The sequence below is a fragment of the Homo sapiens genome, chromosome 3 (genome assembly GCF_000001405.40).
Source record: "Homo sapiens chromosome 3, GRCh38.p14 Primary Assembly".
Lineage (NCBI taxonomy): Eukaryota > Metazoa > Chordata > Mammalia > Primates > Hominidae > Homo > Homo sapiens.
Window position 1 is genome coordinate 63,404,443 of NC_000003.12, and position 20,372 is coordinate 63,424,814.

General features: G+C 38.6%; 1 protein-coding gene and 1 long non-coding RNA gene across 4 annotated transcripts in view; one reads left to right on the top strand and one right to left on the bottom strand.

Moving 5' to 3' along the window:
- Positions 1-20,372, top strand: part of SYNPR (synaptoporin) — a 416,321-nt gene that overhangs the window by 203,839 nt on the left and 192,110 nt on the right. The gene's annotated exons all lie outside the window — the stretch shown is intronic.
- The window catches only part of SYNPR-AS1 (SYNPR antisense RNA 1), a 126,456-nt gene continuing 125,237 nt past the window's right edge, over positions 19,154-20,372 (bottom strand). Inside the window, exon 5 of the long non-coding RNA NR_046677.1 lies at positions 19,154-19,323. This is a non-coding gene — a long non-coding RNA (SYNPR antisense RNA 1). The remainder of the gene's footprint in view (positions 19,324-20,372) is intronic.

Sequence of the window (20,372 nt, forward strand, 5' to 3'; positions counted from 1 at the left end):
GATCCCTTATTTAAAAGAAAATCAATTATCAATTATCTTAAAGCTTTGCCTCATGGTTTCACTGGAACATTTTAAGCTGTATCTTTCTGATTTTCCTTAGAACTGGGTCAGACTGCCATTTTTATAAACTATCATTTCAATGAAATTTTAATTACATGCTTTTTATTCACTACAGAGACCCCTGTGCTTCAAATAACTTGTATGATCATGATCATTCTACTTTATAAGATATTTTAATTATATTTATTTTCAAGTAAAAATCATAATTCATAGGATTAATATTTGTTATTTGTTAAATATTTATCCTATTATTATTTTGAAAGTACTCTCCTTTTAATACAAACAATTGCTACCTGATTATTAAATAGAATATCTGCTTCATGTATTTAACACGTTTCACATAAATCTCAGGGGTTAGACAAAATTAACCTCCCCTCTCAAGCTGGAATTTAAAAGTCTACAGAAGGGAGTGGCATTGCACTAACTCTATGTAGTCAGAAATTACCAGCCAGCAGTGTAGGTGGACATATGATCATTTATTTGGTCACTTATTCAACAAACATTTGTTGAGTACTTACTGTGTGTCATATATGATGAGAACCAAGCAGGTACAACAATCCATCCCATTATTTGATGACATTCCTAAGGAACAGGACATCAGTTTTACTGGCTCCCTGCCTCCAGCTACTCCTCTGTCCTTCCCCTTTCTCAAGTGAGAAGCATGGCTGCATGCAGTGATGAACAAGGTAGACTCAATTTCTCTCTGTAGCTGTCTATGGAAAGGGGCTTCAGAATTCAATGGGAAAATAGTAAACCATGCAATGAGTGGTCTAACAGAAGAAATACGTGAGGCTATGAAACCACAAGGAAAACACACAACACAGGTTAAGGAAACCTTCTCCAAAGAAATGTTCTACAAACTGACAGGAAGCTTGTACCAAATGCTGAGGTAAGGCAAGAGTGAACAGCAAAGCACAGAAGGCTCTGTGCTTTCCACTCCTTCAAGGAAGTGTAAATTGCTGTGTCTGGCTGAATCATAAAGGATGGAGAAGGCCTTGTTTTGTGTTGAGGCTACAGACAGAGATGAGACCCAGATAGCACAGGGCCCATAGACTGTGTTAAAGAAAGAACCTAATCTTAAGAACAGTAGAAAGCAGATGAAAGGTGTTGAGCAAGAGTGTGAGATGATCATATTAATGCTTAAAACAGACCCTTCAGGCTGCCATGTGGACAGTGATGTGGAGGAAGCAAGGCTGGGAGAGCAGTTACAAGACTATTGCAAGATTCTGAGTCAGAGATGGGGTGGCATGTGCCAGAGGATAGAAGAGCATAAATGGATTTGAAAAGAACATTAAATAATAGAATCCACAAAGCCTTGTTTGAATGCTGTGTTACTGGAGAACATGCCAACATGCTGGTTCCAATAGCAATAATAACTTAGTAACAATGGTGCAAATAATAGCACTGGTTGGACATTTTCTCTATGATAGACACTCTGTCATTGCTTCTCATTTAATCTTCACAACACCACCTGGAGATGGGTATATTCAGTTTATTCTTACTGTCCTGTAGAGAGGACATCGAGGATCAGAGAGGTTCAGTTTCTTGCCCAGAATCACACTACCAGAAGGTGGCAGAGCTGGGATTTGGGCACTAGCAGTCTGACTCCAGAGCCTGTGTTCTCACTGGAAATCAATGTTAGAGAACAACGAGATGAGGATAACATTCAAGTCTTGAGGTGCGTGGGTTTAGAATGCAGCTTTAAAAAAAAAAAAAGCCACCTATGCCCTGTATAGTTTTCAGGACCAACATCCCTGTATTTTCAGTGAGATTTATTCTTTTTGTTGTAGAAAAAAACATTGGCTTGGGGTAAGAAATGTAAAAAAGAAGGAAGAAATCAAATAATGAACACTTAAGCATGGGCTAGGTATTCAGTACATGCTTTATTTTTATTCATCACTGTGCCAGGTTTAGGGAATGTATTATTTTTAATCTTCCAAGGACTCTAGGAAGTAGGTGATGTGATTCCATTTTTTTTTTTTTAAATTAAGAACCTAGACTGAGAAAGATTTTGCTTTATGTCCAAGTTAGGACAGGCCAGAGCCGAGCCTGACTCTGATTCTCTCTCCGTGGCACATTACTGCCTGTCAGAGAGGAAAAGAAGACAGAGACACACAAGGCAGGTAGGCATTTGGTCAGAAAGAAACAAAAGTTCCCAAAGTGGAAAAGACAAAGGAAAGCTTTATTGGATGTAGAATTTGAAGCTGAGCAATCTTACAACGAGGTCTCACTGGAGTAACAGAAGAAGTCTCTTCTCTTAACATTGTTGCCTAGTTCCTTGATGGCAGGAATGAGTTCTATTAACTTCAGAGGCCCACACTGAACTCCACAACAATGAGAAGTCATGACCAGAACATAAGTTCCAGTCTAAAAATTTTTACTGCTGATAGAATAGATTTGGTGCCCTTTGGATGGCCACAGATCGGTCCATGTTGACTATCGAGAATCTAAGGAATATTAGCTCGCCTGTGAACTTTTTTGGACTTTATAATACTTTGAGTTCATGCGCTACTTGTCCTAGTCCCAGGACCTTATAATTGGAGGATTGAAAATATCTAACAGGTAACAAATTAAGTTAAATGATTTCTTTACTTCCCTGGATCAAACATGTACCTGGTGGTGAAATTTGAACAAAGATATTTCCATTGCATCTTGATTTTCCGTGGAGAAATCACATAAGCAGTTTAGGACAGCAGTAATAATGAACCATTACAGCATAGACCAGGATTGGCTCCAGAGTGGTAACACTGTGTCCAATTGACTTCTTTATCCCTGTTATTAACACAGTGCTTAATTTACAGCAAGCTCAAAAAATGCTTGAATGAGTGAAGGATTACATGAGTTATGAACAGCTTATCATTTTATACTAAGGGAGCAATGTAATATAGTGGTCGAATCTGTGGATGCTGAAATCAGCCAATCCAGATTCAAATCATCCTAGCTTCCTGTTTCACATTTCTCTCTTGACTTTGATTTTATTATTTGTAAAATGGAGATGATGCTATTGTAAGATATTCCATTTAAAGTGTTTAACAGGACTTGACAAGGAGTAAATGCTCAATATGTCTTAGCTGTTACTTATTTATCAGCATTAATATCATACAAGTTAAATGCCTTCTTTGTAATCATATATATTTTTTCAACAATATCTTTGCTCAAGGAAAAAAATATACCACGTAGAAATTATTCCCTTGAGAGGTGGATCCAGGAGTACAATTTTATCTTGTTGGAGAGCAAGACAAATGGTGGGTTAAGTAGAAAGAGTTCTCAGAAGTTAGACTAACCCAGAGTGGGTGTCTGTTTTCCCACCCAAGTACAGATGCTAGGGCTCTCACTTCAACACTACCATGCTGATATCAACTGCCTGTCTTCTGAAGATTACAGTACCTTGAGACATTTGAAAGGAATTGGAATGTCCAGTTGTGTTGGGGCTTGGCAAAGATACTGGACATACTAAGGCCATCTTTCTATTGAATGATTCACGGGCATCTTTAGAAAACTAGCTAGCATGGTTCCTTAATATGGTGACATGCAGTGGTTTCCCTAATGGCAGTGGAAATCTGCAGGCTTTGCCTTGGCTTTTCCTTGGCTGCTGTATTAGTCAGGATTCTCCAGATAAACAGAACCAATAGAAGAAAGAAAAGAAAGAAAGAAAGAAAGAAAGAAAGAAAGAAAGAAAGAAAGAAAGAAAGAGGAAGGAAGGAAGGAAGGAAGGAAGGAAGGAAGGAAAGAAAGAAAGAAAGAAAGAAAGAAAGAAAGAAAGAAAGAAAGAAAGAGGAAGGAAGGAAGGAAGGAAGGAAGGAAGGAAGGAAGGAAGGAAAGAAAGAAAGAAAGAAAGAAAGAAAGAAAGAAAGAAAGAAAGAAAGAAAGAAAGAAAGAAAAGGAAGGAAGGCTTGTTATGGGGATGAGCTCATGTGATCATGGAGGCTGATGAGTTCCACAGCATGCCATCTGCAAGCTGGAGAACCAGGGAAGCTGGTAGTATGTCTCAATCTAAGTCTGAAGGCTTGAGAACCACGAGAGCTGATAGTGTAATTTTCAGTCCAAGGCAGAAGGCCTGAGAAACTTGTGGCCTGCTGGTACAAGTCCTGGAGTCCAGAAGCTGGAGAACCTGGAATTCTGATACCCAAGGACAAGAGAAGAAGGGTGTCCCAGCTCCAGGAGAGAGAGCACACATTCACCTTTCCTCTGCCTTTTTGTTTTATCTGAGCCCTCAATGGATTGGATGGTGCCTGCTCACATGGGGCAAGGAAAGATCTTCCTTATTCAGTCCACTGATTCAAATGCCAATCTTTCTTAGAAACACTCTCAGAGATATATCAAGAAATAATGCTCTACCGGCTATCTGGGAATCCATTAATCCACTCAAGTTGACACCTAAAGTTAACAGTTGCCCACGGAGTGTTTTCACAGTCTCCAAGCCAACTCTGCCCTCCACTCTTCTTCATGGAGTCTCTCCTGTAACCCTACCAACCTCCATAAGATCTTAAGTTCTTCTACCCTCTTCCTCCCTTTTCTACCCCTCCAAACCAGGTGAACCTTGTCCTGACTCCCTAAAGATCAATCCATCTGCAGCTTTCTTTCTTCTTGTTCCAATGTTATCATGGCATAAACCCTATATCATTTGTTCATTCCTCAGGGCCTTCTATTTTCATTCTCAAAAGCCCTTTTTTTCTCCCAACAAGTCTCCTTATATATCAAAAGCTTTGGCTTTCAAAGCTTTTGTTTCTCATGTGGGCTTTAAGAACATATTTTAGGATTCAGAAAAACTAAACATCGATTTTTTTTTGTTCTTTTTACATTTCTGCTGTAACTACATCAGTTCTCCTTGAGGCATAGTGATGCCTCTGAGTGATAGGAGGCAGGGTCATAAACAAGGATGGGAAGAAAAGCACACAAACTGATGCTTCCAGATCACATCTTGCTGTGCTGCATCCATTCACTATGAGTCCTACTTTCAGGTTTCAGCAGGTTAATTCCTACATTTGACTCTTGGCTGACATTAATCCTGGGCTCTGCTGTCTTGCCACCATGAAGATGTACAGTGAGGACCATGGTGGTCAAGTTCTCCTAAAATTCACACACTCCTTATATCATAATGCTCCTTATAAATTTCACAAAGCTTATATATTGTTCTTCAGATATGTATTGAATGTTTACTATGTGTGATTCATTGTCTTCACAACCCTATGAGGTAGATGTTATTATTGTCCTTATTTTACAGATGGGTAAACTGAGATTCAGAAAAGTTAAGGCCATCATTTCTGCTGTCCATTATATATTTCAAGCTCTCTTTTTGAGCACTGCTCTACCCACCTGGAGTTAGGTGTGCCTACATAATTTGCTTTGGTTAATAAAGTATGAGTAGAAGTGACAGACGTCACATCAGCGTGGAAGCTCTGAGCCAATGCACAATTCGTGTTCTCTTTCCCTGTGCCCCAACAGCGTTCCAGAGAGTAGAAACTCCATTCACTAGCATCCTGGGAAGAGGTGACATGGAGCAGAACCCCATCCATTCTTTAGTGGACAAGAACAAAAAAAACACTTTGTTGTCTCAAGCCACTGACTTACACATTGTTTGTTAACACAGCTTCACCTTGCTCATTGTGATTAATATGGAAGTCACTCATTCATGCAATTACTTATCCATTTATTCATTCAACAGGCAATTATGAACTGTCTACTGTATGCCAGATGTGGACTAGGTACTGCAAAAACAAGACATGACAATTGTCTTTATCATCTCTGGTATTTTGTCCACTGAAATCATGAACTTAATTAAATGATGGAGTTGAGTTTCAAATTCAAGTCATGAGATTCCAGAGCTTATGCACTGAAATACTGCTTTCTGTCATCTCAAATAGAAATTTCATAGAGTTTACAATTGGTTTTTAAAATCTTTCTGGGTCTGGGTCTGCTCTATGTCAGGCAGATAGCAGGCTAATTTCCTAATGCACTATCAGTTCAGGTGTAATGGGTAAAGCAAATTGCCATAGGCTCATTACCAAAAGGAAGATGAGCAAGATACCAAAATTTTGATCATGATTTATGGAGTAGGCATTGGTCATGTTTTCCCTCATGTTTGTGTCTGCCTTGTATCTTTTAAACACCCTATTATGTTTGCAGAATTTTTCCAACTGATGGGTTTCCAAAGTAGGAACCTAAAAACTCACTTCCAGCCTCCTCTGCAGCTAGAACATATGCATGTGACCATCCTCCACCAATCAGGTTCACCCCCACTAGACTTCAGTTCAGAAATGAGTAATCTGAGGAAAAATGCTTACACTGGTATCTACTTAGCTGGTGAGGGGCAGCAGAAGCCCCTGACTTTGAGGAGGACAGTGATGGTTGGGTTGAGTGCCTGACTTATGAGGCTGCAGTGTGAACAGGAAGTTGTTCAATAGTACCAATGGCAGGGCAGCAGAATTCATCTTGTTAGGCTAGTTTTGGAGCATAATTTGGGGCATTATTCCTAGAAATTTGGCATTAAGCCCAGTTCTCTAAACAACTTCCCAGTATCTTTTAACTACTCACTGTTCTTTAATGAACTTGTTTTCTGCTTAATGAGCTGCAGTCAGCTTCTGCTTCTTTAAGTAAAAACCTGATCCGATGCAATGTGGAAACTGAATCAGAAAAGTTTCAAGCCAGATCCTGGGTAAAGAGAACAACAAATGACTAACTTAATGGTGTGTGGGTGGGTGGGAAGTTAAAGTCTGAGGAGTCTGAGGTCAAAGGTGGTAAGGCTTGAAAAGGAGGTGAGCTTCAGTTCTACTTTGAACATATTGGTGTGGGTAGCATGTTTCTGCTGGCCTATGTCCTCTTAGATCTGTTTGTGCAGTCATTCAATGAATACTTACAGAGCACATACTGCATGCCTGGCTCCACGCTAGGCAGTGGTGGATATAATAATGGGTAAGTCAGGCATAATCTCAGCTCTCATACTAGCTAATAGTTTTATATAATGGGAAGGCTGATCATACCAATGGACAAATATATAACTACAAACTGATAATAAAAGAAAGTTATATACACATAACGACCAAGTGTGGGAGGTCAGAGATGCCTTCCTGAGGAAGTGATTTTACAGTTGAGATTTGAAGGCCAAGAGACAGCCAGCGGGTGAAAGAGAGCAGAAGAGTATTCCAGGAGACATAAACAGCATGTTCAAAGACCCTAGAGACAGAGTAAACATGGCACATTTGAAGAACTGCAAAGCTGATGAACTTGAAGTGAAGAGAAGAGGGAAGAATGGAATAAGATCTGGCTTTGGTGGTACTGGGGAGTCAGGGAAGAACATGCAGAGTCTTGAAGATCTATTAAGGATTTTGATCTTTTTCCTAAAATCAGTAGGAGGCTATTGAAGAGTTTTAAGCCCTGTGATAACATTGTCAGATGTGCATTCTAAAATGCCATTTTGACCATAGTAGGAACAGTGGATGGGGTAGAGGAATGGAATGAATTCAAAAAGTTACTAAGGAGACAATTGTGATAGTGCAGGCCAAGAGTGGATTACTAGATCAGGATACAGAACTGGCAGGAGAGATGAAGAGGAGTAGAGTAGATTGGAGATAGAGTTAGGAAGCAAATCAATGGAACTTCACAATAAGTTAGATATAGAATGGGTGGTGACTGGCTTTTCTGATGGGCAACTGATACAAGGACCACTGGAAGAGTATCAGATTTGGCAGCAAAAGAGTGAGAATAGTGTCTTCAGGTCTGGCACATGCTGAGACTGGGGTGTCTCTGAAGCATTCAAGAGAAGACAATAAGTAGACAGATATGAGGGTCTGAAGTTTCAGGAAGAGTATTGCACTGAAAATATTTCTTTATTGATCTTAAAAGCAGGATTCTGCTGAAGCTAGAATCTGAGCAAATCCAGACTCAAGCTCAAGTTTGGAACATTCATCTATTTATTCCATGCAGTTTTGTCAAGCATCTACCTTGCACCAAGCACTGGAGATACAGAATCAAGAGAAGGACATGGACATAGAGGAGTTTATAGTATAGCTGAGACATATAAAAGTCAATAGACAAACTGTAAGTAATGAAGGTGTGTAGAAGGTTCTTTTAAAAGGCAAATATTGTAGGGTAGATTTTAGGGTTGAGGCGCAGGGATGAGTTGTATTCTAGGAAGGGAAGACAGTAATGCAAAGACTTAGTGTCATGGAAGCAGGCACTGTTCTTGAGGAATCATCAATATTAAATTTGGATGAAGGAAGAGAGTTGGAAACTGAGCAGTATTAAAAGATAAGGCCAGAGATGTAGGCAGAAGGCTGGGATCAGCCATCCTATAAACCTTTTGAACTTGAACCTGAAGATTACCAGGTACCACTGAAGCATTTCGTGCAAGGGGATAATAGGATCAGATTTGTGTTTTAGGTAGATAACTCTGCTGGAGTCGTGGTGGATGGCTTTAATAAGAGATCTGAGAAATGTCACTCAAATTCGGAACCTGCTATTGCATCTTTTTAGCAGGTGGATTTTATGTTTATTGGTGCCTTCAGGGTTCCAAGTGTTCACGTCATTATCTTATCTCATTTGAAGCACAACAATTGAAAAATACACAAATCAGTGTACTATTATACTTTATTCTTTTTATGGTTAAATTAGATAACGATCAAAAAATGACATTGGCTTGCTCACTTGTTAGAAACCATAAAATAACCTTCCTCATTAAAAAACCATTTTTCCATCACGAAGCAAATTTGGAACAAGGTACAGTGTGTCTTTAATCTCTCTTTAATTGATGCATATTGCTTTTTATCATATTCCATGACTCACCATGTTTTGACTATAGCTGACTTGAACTGTAACAGTCTGTTACCTTTTTGCCACAGTTTGCTACAGGCTAACAGGCCAATGAGACTATTAACGTAAAAGTTAAGATTCGTTTGGTCTTAAGTTAAATAATGAGTAAATAATTGAGAAAGAATTCTAAAAAGGAACCCCTGAAGGCTTATGTAATAGCTTATTTGATCCACATAAAAAGCGAGATAGGAAATCAAGTTTCTGCTAGTTAGACAAAAGCTATTTTCCTTCATTAAAATGAGTGATGAGAACAAAAATCAAGAAAAGACCCTTAGAACAAATAGAGCCTCAAATACCACTTTGGCAGAGTACAGTTATGCTAAGCTAGAACTTTAAATAGCAACACTCTGCATACTTTTGGCTTACCCCATTGAAATCACTATGAGCTATTGTTTTATTGTCTGCTGTTACATGTAAGTTGCTGGCAGCTGCTGATGGTGATTGCTGCTTGGGGAAGAGGAACTGGAAAGAAAGATCCCTTACCAACTGTTTTCCATGCTGCCCAGATGTGAAAGGCTCCACTGCCCTAGAAGGATAATGGAGGAGTTGAACATTATCAAAAAAAATGATATTTTAGAAGCTAGGAGCTGAAGTATCCTCAAATTAGGAGCCTTTCTCCATTTATTTTCTTAGTAACAGTTGGGTGTGAGTATAAGAAACCCCAAGAGGAGAGGGAAAAAAATATATAAATATATATACATATATATATATATAGAGAGAGAGAGAGACAGAGAGGGAGAGATCTGAAAAACAAAGGCCCCTGGTTGTTCTTTCTCAGGCAGTAGCTTGGGTATCTTGATTGACAACCTCTGTTTTGAAGCCAATATTGTGAATAAGATAATGATTCTTATGTGGGAAGAAAGGCAAAAAAGGCTTACAGTGATTTAATAACAGCTTTCTGCTGGCTAGATATCTGAAAACTTAAAATGTAGTTGACAGTAATTAGTTTTGTGGGCTTTTTTCTTACAAATGTAAAACATTAAATATCTTTTGAAAAAACCTCACACACAATAGGGGCACATCTGATGGATTTCTTACTTTTTGGAGTTTTATTAGGTTGCAAATGTGTCACTTCAGCCTTGGTTCCAAGTGTATTGAATTTGTAGAAATGTAAAATAGGACTTCCTGCAACAAATGGGCCAAGTGTCTTCTTCAGCATGAAAACAGTGACAGTGAGATGTCAACAATGCTGCAACAAACCTGTCTTTGTCTTTTCATTATTGCAATTCAGAAATATTGTGAATATTCAGATTGATTGCAAAAACTTTCAGAAACAACCTTCACTAACAAAAAGATAGGGAATTTTTTCCACTAAATATTTTGAATCAGTCAAGATCAAATCTACCTGCTACTGACTATTTTTCTTAAAGCTAAAAGAAAATTTATTTGGAGGAGGAGAATATGTAAGTCTCATTACCAACTGTCTATATAAACTGAAGCTTTCCAGCCTATATAGATCCCAATTGCAATGAATATCATTTGCACATATAATGAAGTTAGTCAGCCAATGTGTTTATGCTGAAGTCTTCTCCTTATATACATATGTATATTTTGAATCTTACCACTTTCTAACTTACAGTATGGTCATTTGTATACTTTCGTTTTATCTCTAAAAGTGCAAAATTTTCTAAACTCAGGAATGTGCTACTGCAGGCTTTTACTGGCTCACCAGAGCCCACTGTTAAATTTTCAAGGATTTTATGATCCAGTTGTTAAATAAGTTCACTATTAAAAAGTAAATTACATAAACTTAAAATTGAATGAGTTATAACAAAAAAATCATACATGCTGAAAATATATTATTTATGAATTCTTTTCCTACTTTTTACTGTTATCTATGCTCTTGCAGTTCTTTATGCATATCGTATCTTTATGGTTAAAATACTATAAAATGGTGTGCTCCTATACATCCCCTCACAACACAGCATTCAACAACAGCATGCTGGTAGCTCAAAACCAATCATGCTGATAGCATTTACACCATGGAAATAGGCAAATGCCATAAATTAAAATTTGCTTTATTGTTTTAATTGTCTAGACCAGAGACTGGCAAATCTGGCCAAAAATTTGGCCCAAAAAGCCAAATCCTGTCTCAGAGAATTAAGAATTTTTTTTTTTTTTACGTTTTTAAAGGTTATTTAAAAAAGAAAAGAAAAATATGTGACAGATCATATGTGACAGTTTTTTTCTTTAAAGGGCTGGTAGTAAATGTATTAGGCTTCATGGGCCCTGTAGAACCTGTCACAACTGCTCCACTCAGCCATTGTAGCACAAAAGCAGCCATAGACAATATGTAACCAAATCAACGCGGCTGTTTTCCAATAAAAATTCAAGAAAAACAGCTGGTGGGCCTTACTTGGCCCACAGGCCATAGTTCTCCAACCAGTGGTGTAAGTTGCAAACACAAATAATTAAGTCTGTGTTCTGCAAGCGTCCTTCTAATCAATAAATTATAATTGTAATAAATATTTAGATCTAGGTAATACCCTTTCCCTGCAGCAAATTGCAACACAGCTAATTTGAATCACTTTGCAGTTATATTAAATGGAAAATTCCATCTCTGAATGCTCTTTGGTCAATCATGTAATGGCAGTTGTGAAATGAAGTTGTGTGGTTTTAAAGCACTTTAAAGTTGCCTGATTCACTTAGCCATACTGTTACTCTCAGAAAGCAACAGATGATTACAAACAAGGCATCTACTTATTCATCAACCCACTGATGATCTTTCAAATAAGCTGAAGCCAATTGGTTGGAGTAAGATACACTTAATTTGACTGAGACTCTTCTGTTGAATCACTGAACTTTACATTTCAGTTCACAAGACTGTTTTTAGTAAGAAGGCTGGCATTTTATTGTATTTCATTCTATTTATATGTGTGTGTTTACGTGCAGTCACATGTAAACACCCATACACAGAATCTGGATCAAAAATGCCTTTGGCTGGCTACTCTGGCTCACGCCTGTAATCCCAGCACTTTGGGAGGCCAAGGAGGGTGGATCACCTGAGGTTCGGAGCTTGAGACTAGGTTGGGCAACATGGTGAAACCCTGCCTCTACCAAGAAATAGAAAAATTAGCCAGGCGTGGTGGTGCGTGCCTGTAGTCCCAGCTATTCTGGTGGCTGAGGTGGGCGAATTGCTTGAACCCGGGACGTGGAGGTTTCAGTGAGCTGAGATTGTGCCAATGTACTCCAGCCTTGGTGACGGAGTGAGACTCTGTCTTAAAAAAAAAAAAAAAAAAAAACCAAAAAAAAACACAGAAGTTATTGCTATGCTCCTCAGTGTATTAGTCCGTTTTCATGCTACTAATAAAGACACACCCAAGACTGTAATTTATAAAGAAAAAGAGGTTTAATGGAGTCACAGTTCCACGTGGCTGGGGAGGCCTCAAAATTATGGTGGAAGACAAGGAAGAGCAAGTGACATCTTACGTGGATGGCAGCAGGCAAAGAGCTTGTGCAGGAAAATTCCCCCCTGTAAAACCATCAGATCTCATGAGACTTATTCACTATCACAAGAACAGCACAGGAAAAACCTGCCCCCATGATTCAATTACCTCCCACCAGGTGCCTCCCACAACACACGGAAATTCAAGATGAGATTTAGGTGGGGACACAGCCAAACCATCTAATTCCACTCCTGGCCTCTCCCAAATCTCATGTCCTCACATTTCAAAACCAGTCATGCCTTCCCAACAGTCCCCCAAAGGCTTAACTCATTTCAGCATTAACTCGAAAATCCACAGTCCAAAATCTCATCTGAGACAAGGCCAGTCCCTTCCACTTATGAGCTTGTAAAATCAAAATCAAATTGGTTACTTCCTAGATACAGTGGGGGTACAGGCATTGGGTAAATACAGCCATTCCAAATGGGATAAACTGGCCCAAAGAAAGGGGCCAGAGGCCCCATGCAAGTCTAAAATCCAGCAGGGCAGTAAAATCTTAAAGCTCCAAAATGATCTCCTCCTTTGACTCCATGTCTCACATCCAGGTCACACTGTTGCAAGAGGTGGATTCCTATGGTCTTGGGAAGCTCCGCCCCTGTGGCTTTGCAGGGTGCAGCCTCCCTCCTGGCTGCTTTCATGGGCTGGTGATGAGTGTCTGCAGCTTTTCCAGGCATGCAGTACAAGCTGTCATTGGATCTACCACTGTGGGGTTTGGAAGGCAGTGGCCCTCTTCTCACAGCTCCACTAGGCAGTGGCCTAGTAGGGACTCTGTGTGGGGGCTCCCACCCTACATTTCCCTTCTGCACTTCCCTAGCAGACTTCTCCATGAGGGTCCTGCCCCTGCAGCAAGCTTTTTCCTGGACATCCAGGCATTTCCATACATCCTCTGAAATCTAGGTGGAGGTTTCCAAACCCCAATTCTTGACTTCTGTGCACTGGCAGGCTCAACCCCATGTGGAAGCTGCCAAGGCTTGGGGCTTGCACCCTCTGAAGCCACAGCCTGAACTCTACCTTGGCCCCTTTTAGTCATGGCTGGGGTGGCTGGGACACAGGGCACCAAGTTCCTAGACTGCTCACAGCAGAGGGACCCAGGGCCCAGCCTATGAAACCACTTTTTTCCTCCAAGGCCTCCGGGCCTGTGATGGGAGGGGCTGCTGTGAAGCCCTCTGACATACTCTGGAGACATTTTCTACACTGTCTTGGTGATTAACATTCAGCTCCTCATTACTTATGCAAATTTCTGCAGCTGGCTTGAATTTCTACTCAGAAAATGGGATTTTTCTTTCTATCATATTGTCAGGCTGCAAATTTTCCAAACGTTTATGCTCTGCTTCCCTTATGAAACTGACTGGCTTTAACAGCATCCAAGTCACCTCTTGAATGCTTTGCCACTTAGAAATTTCTTCCTAAATCATCTTTCTCAAGTTCAAAGTTCCACAAATCTCTGGGGTGGGGACAAAATGCCACCAGTCTCTTTGAAAAAGCATAGCAAGAGTCACCTTTGTTCCAGTTCCTAACAAGTTCCTCATCTTCATCTGAGACCACCTCAGCCTAGATTTCATTGTCCCTATCATTATCAGCAATTTGGTCAAAGCCATTCAACAAGTCTCTAGGAAGTTCCAAACTGTCCCACATTTTCCTGTGTTCTTCTGAGCCCTCCAAACTGTTCCAACCCCTGCCTGTTAGCCAGTTCCAAAGTCGCTTCCACATTTTTGGGTATTTTTACAGCAGCGCCCCTCTCTACCAGTACTAATTTACTGTATTATTCTGTTTTCACACTGCTGATAAAGACATACCCAAGACTGGGTAATTTATGAAGAAAAAGAGGTTTAATGGACTCACAGTTCCACGTGACTGGGGAGGCCGCACAACTATGGTGGAAAACAAAGAGGAACAAGCCACGTCTTACACAACATGGCAGCAGGCAGAGAGTTTTGCAGGCAAGCTCTCCCTTATAAAACCATTAGATCTCGTGAGACTTATTCACTATCACAACAGCATGGTAAAGACCTCCTCCCATGATTCAATTACCCCCACCAGGTGCCTCCCACTTGTGGGAATTCTAGATAAGATTTGGGTGGGGACCCAGCTGAATCATATCACTCAGTCTTTCCACCTTTTAATCTGGAAAGTCTGGTCACAACTGCTTAGAATTTAGGCCCAGGAGCTACTAAGAATTAGTAGAATATTTGGTTTAATAGAGTCTTAATAATTTTCATGAATTTTTAACTTCCTCTTAGAGGGCAACATTTATGTGACTGTACATTCTCTCCACTTTTTCTAGAGTTCCTCCATAGGCATCCTCAAACAGAACGGTATCTTAATAGTGTCTCACTTGTCAAACAAACTCTTATTTATTTGAGACATCATGGGAAGGGTCACAGCCTGTTCCTTGAAGGCTTTGCAAAGTAATCAGGCAGTGTAAGTGATGGCAAGCCCCCTGGATGTGGACTCAGCCCACCTGAGTTCTAGGCCTGGCCTTGCCTTCAGGTCACTGTGTGAAGCCAGACTAGTTGCCTCCCTGCCCCAGCCTCAAAACTGCTATAGCCATCAAAACTGAACTAGGACCAGACAAACTCTAATATCCCTTACAGCTCACACTCTGTGATACCAAATACTTAGAGTTGGAAAGCATGTCCCTCTTGGGCAAAGGGTTGTGGTCTAAGGGAAAGAAGCTGAACTGGAAGTTGTTGGTGACAGAGCTACCCCAAAGATTGAACTCAGACAGCCCTCATGTCCTATCAGGTCTAAGGCCTGCTTAGTTTGTCCCACAAAATATAAAGTTTTTTATTTTTTTTCTAATTTACTAATATTTAAAGGTAAGAAGATTTTATATAAAAATCTGGATTGTCAGCTTTTCTTGAAAAACTAAAAAATCTAGCAACTATGGTCCCCCACATTTCCCAATTGCAATATGATCAGGAGCTGAGTAGCAGTTGCCCCATGAAGTGGGTCAGGGAAGTTAGAGACTATTGATATCTTAAGCACAGACTGCAGAAGGTGATTTTCCATGAAAGGCATGTGAAGCTCTCATGTGAAGGATCAAAAAGGGCTCTTCTTTCTTAACACAGAACAGAGAACATATCATTTTAGACATCAGCTCATAAGCAATACTAGTTCTATATTCATTTTCTTTGTTGAAAGTAGTCTATTTGGTGAAGATTCCAGTTTTTTCACATTATAACTTTCATAGGGAAATAGCTATGATGGTTTGCATAAAATGTTCAGACCTTATCTACCTAGTAGTAAATCTAACAAAGGGAGTGCAAGATCTTTATAGGAAACATATGTAAAATGTTATTTATGCATTGAAAAAGAAGACAAGAAAAATGGCATGATATAACATGATCATGGATGAGAAGATTCAATATTGTAAAGATGCAAATTTTCCCCCAATTAGTCTATAAATTCAATGACATTTTAATTAAAAATGTACCAAATATTTCAGGTATCCTGGTAAATTTATTTTCAACTTAATCTAAAGGCATAAAATACAGGAAAGGCCGAGATAATTCTGAGAGAGAAGACAAAAGAGAGGGCAATGTTATAATATATATGAGGCTTATAGCAAGGATATTATAATTAAAACAGCAAGGTATTGGTATAGCAGTAATCAAATACACAAGTGCATCAGAACAAAAAGCTGGAAAATAGATAAATGCATATATGGAAATTGCTGTATCTGAAACTGCAAATCAGTGCAAAAATGAACTACTTGATATGTAGACCTGAGAAATTATCTTTCTTTATAGAAAAAAAATTGTATTCCTACCTTCCCTTATGCAAAAATAAACTCCAAAGAATTAAAGACCTAATTGTGAAAAACAAAACTCTGAAACTATAGTTTTAAAAATGGAAAATATCTTTATAATTTCAGATCTAGGAGGAATTTCTTAAAACAAGTAATAAAAGCAAATGTTATTTTTTTAAAGATAAAGTTAGGCTTTATTTTAAATTTTTATATGACGAAGGATATCAAACAAAGACAATAGTCAACTGGGAAAAGATACTTTCAACATTTATAATGGGCAAAGGAGTTGTATTCAGAATGTTTAAAGAACTTATAAATCAGTGAGAAAAAATACAAATAGAAAAATGGGCAGAAGATACTAAGAAGCAATTTTTTAATTTAATTAATTAATTTTTTGAGTCACGGTCTTGCTGCCTCCCAGGCTGGAGTGCAGTGGCGTGATCATGGCTCACTGCAGCCTCAACCTCCCAGGCTCAAGCAATCTTTCCACCTCAGCCTTCCAACTAGCTGTAACTACAGGCACATACCACCATGCCCAGCTAATTTTTAAATTTTCTTGTAGAGATGGAGTCTCCCTATGTTGCCCAGGAATGGTCTTAAACTCCTGGGCTCAAGTGATTCCCCGGTTTTGGCCTCCGAAATTGCCGGGATTACAGGCATGAGCCACTATGCCCAGCTTCTAATAGGCAATTCACAAGAGAGGATGCTCAGGTAGATAACACAATATGAAAAGATAATTAACTTTACTAGTAATCAGGAAACGTCAAATTAAAATAAGAGAAATAAAAACATACATCCACACAAAGATTTGCAATTTTATTTGTAATAGCCAAAAAACTGGAAACCACCAACTGTTAATTAAAAGATAAATATATAGACAAAATATAGTATATCCATACACTGAAAAAAAAAACCTAAGCTCTGATAAACAAAAAGATGGATGAATCTCAAAAATCATTATGCTGAGTGAGAAAATTCAGACTAAATATATATATATAATATTATTTCATTTGTTTAAAAAATCTAAAAAATGAAAATTAATCTATATTAAAAGAAAACAGATCAGTTGTTGCCTTGTATATTCATTTCCAATTGTTGCATATTAAATTACCTTGAGCTTAGAGACTTAAAACAACGCACATTTATTTTCTCCTAGTTTCCATGGGGCAAGAGTTACCCAGGCACTCTGCTCAGACTGAAATCAGGGCTGCAATCTCATCTGAGGCTTTAGGTCCTCTTGCAAGCTCTTTGGTTGTTGGCAGGATTCAGTTCTTTACAGCTGGAGGACTGAGGCCCCACACTCCTACAGGCCCTGCCCTTCTCTGCCACAGGGCCCTCTTCACACATGGCAGTTTGGTTCTTCCAGGCTACCAGGACAGCTTGCCTGCTTTTTCAAATCTTTGTGGCTTCTGTTTCTGACTTTTAGAACCTCTTTTAAAGAGCTCATATATTATATCAGGCCCATTTGGGATAGCCTCTCTTTTGATTAACTTAAAGTCAACTGATTAGGGATATTCATTACATATTGCAAGAACTCTTCCCCTTTGCCACATAATGTAGGCTAATCAGTGAGTGTTGTATCATTATTTTTACAGGTTCCACTCACATTCAGGTTAGGAAATTACACAGGGTTTGTACACCAAGGGGTGGGAAACTTGAGGCCATCTCCTGTTTACCACACCCAGGATCAGAAGTGGAGGGAAAGATGTAAATAAGGCAGTCTCATTTTATCAGTGTTCTTAACTACTTTCTACATTGCTATGTGTTCTCCCTTCTTTTTAAAATGGGACCTTTTCCCTAATACAATGGAAATGTCAATTGGTTTTCCTTTTTCATTGTTCCATCATGTAGACACATGAAAAAAAAATACTATTTTAAGAACAAGATGATCAACGTCTACAGCGCATTGAGTGAATAAAAAATTGAGAAAGAAATGAATTGCAAAGAGGCACAAGGAAACTTAGAGGTGACGGAAATCTTCAATATCTCAATTGTGGTGCTGGTTTTATGGGTATAAGCATTTCTTAAAATTCATCAAATTGTACCCTTTAAATATATGCAGTTTGTTATACATCAGTTATGCCTCAATAAAGTCATAAATTAAATAAAAACATTTTCACCCATCAGATTGGCAAAATATTGAAAGTCTAAAAGTACCAAGTATAAGCAATGATGGGACATAATGGAAACACAGTGCCGGGGCAGGAGTGTATAAACTACAGATGGTTTTGGTCCTACCTAGAAAAAAAGACGAATATGGCTATATTTTTAATACCCCCAAATTTCACTGCTATATAGATATTGCAGAGAAACTCACCCATTTCCACCAAGAATAAATACAAGGATACTCATTGTATATTGTTGCAATAACAAAAATTGAAAACAACTTAAATGTCCATCATTAGACAAATGAATAAGCATGACATATTCATAAAAGGAAACACCATTCAGGAGTTAAAAATGAATAAAGTGGTCTTTATATATCAACATAGATCTTAAAAATCTAATGTCTAGAAAAACACATTGCAGATCGATTGTTCATTATGATAACATCTATGGAATAAAAGTGCAAAATATTGCTGCATGCTATTTATTGAAAAATATAGGTAACACATGTACATAACAACATGGATGAGAAAAAATACACATTCATGACTTTGGGAGAAAAGGGAATAAAATTGGAGACAGACCTAAAAGGGAGCTCAGTTTCATCATCTATTTTTTTCATTTAAAGGATTCAGAAGCAAGTATGGAAAACATTAGTGTTTGTTCATGCTGGTGGTGGATATTGAGCGACTGTTATACAGCAAATGGACTCCCTGCCCCACACACATAGAAACTAATACTATGGCACCAGCTTTTGAGAAAAGAAAGGCTTTGTTACAAGGCTGGCCAGCGAGGAGACAGGAGAAGGACTCAAATCAGTCTCCCTCACTTGGGGCCTGGGGCAAGTATTAAGGGGTTGGATGACAAGAGAAAGGATTTACAAATGTTGGCTTGGCAAGGTCCAGTTGGAGGTCTTCAAATTTGACCATTTACAGTAAGGCATGTTGACGCAGATTTTAGTCCCAGATCTTCCTGGCCAACAGACCCCTTGCTTTGAAAGAGTGCCGGCGGTCATATTGCAGCAGGTTCTGGTCATGTCCCATCTTCTTGGTTCCATGAGGAGGAATCATTGGTTCTGGATGTTGTTAGAGGTCAAAGCTGTTTCTGTTACACATGCCTAGGCTGTATCACTTGCAGTCTTGGCTCTGTTAATGCCTATAAGCCAATGCAACATTCTGTTACCAGCAGAATAGGGCCAGGGCCAGTTTGGGCTGGTTTGGCAGTTACATAAAGTTTCACTTTATTTTGTTTTTAAATTATCACCTATAAATAACCCTTGTCTAAATATGAGAATAACATCAGAAAAATCCAAAGTGAGAGACATTCTATAAAATACTTTGCCAGTTCTCTTCAAAATGTCAAGGTCATTAAAAACAAGGAAAATCTGAGAAACAGTCTAAAGAGACATCATGAATAAATGTAATGTGGTATCTTGAGTAAGATTCTAAAACAGAAAAGGCACATTAGGTTAAAAACTAAGAAACTCAGAATAAATTATGAGCTTAAGTTGGTAATAACATATCAATGTTAGTTCATTAATTGTGTCAAATGTACCCTAGTAATGTCGAAAATAAAGGAAGCTGGGTGCAAGGTATATGGAAACTCTCTGTTATATTCTTGCAACTTTTCTGTAAATCTGAAGCTATTTTAAAATGAAGAGCTTATTTTTTTGAAAAAATCATCACCTATAGTTCAAAGAAAACATCTTGGTGGGGTGTCATGTAGGAAAATACTATTTTGAAGGTAGGCCAGTCTATATTGAAATCCTGGCCCCTCCACCCATGCCCACAACACCTTTGAGACTACTTCAGCTTCCATTTCCTCTTTTGCAAAATGAGAACAATCTCTACCTTGGAGAATGATTGAGACATTAAATAGGAATGCATAAAGCATTTAGCACATAGTAAAGGCTCAATAACAATTACTTATTATTTCCATTTTATTGTAGTTATTGTATTATTATATATATCAAATGTGTTTGTTTTGATTATTAGGTAAGAAAACCATAGTATCTTTAAACCTTCCGGATTAAAAAAAATAAACAAGCTTCGCTTTGCAATCACTCTGTTAGCACACACCAAAATGTACACAATATCGACAATCCCTTTGATAATATGGGGCACTTTGGAGGGAGGGGAGCTATTAGTAAGTTTACTGGACTTTATTCTCTTTATTCTTAGGTGAATTTTCCTTACCACTCTTCA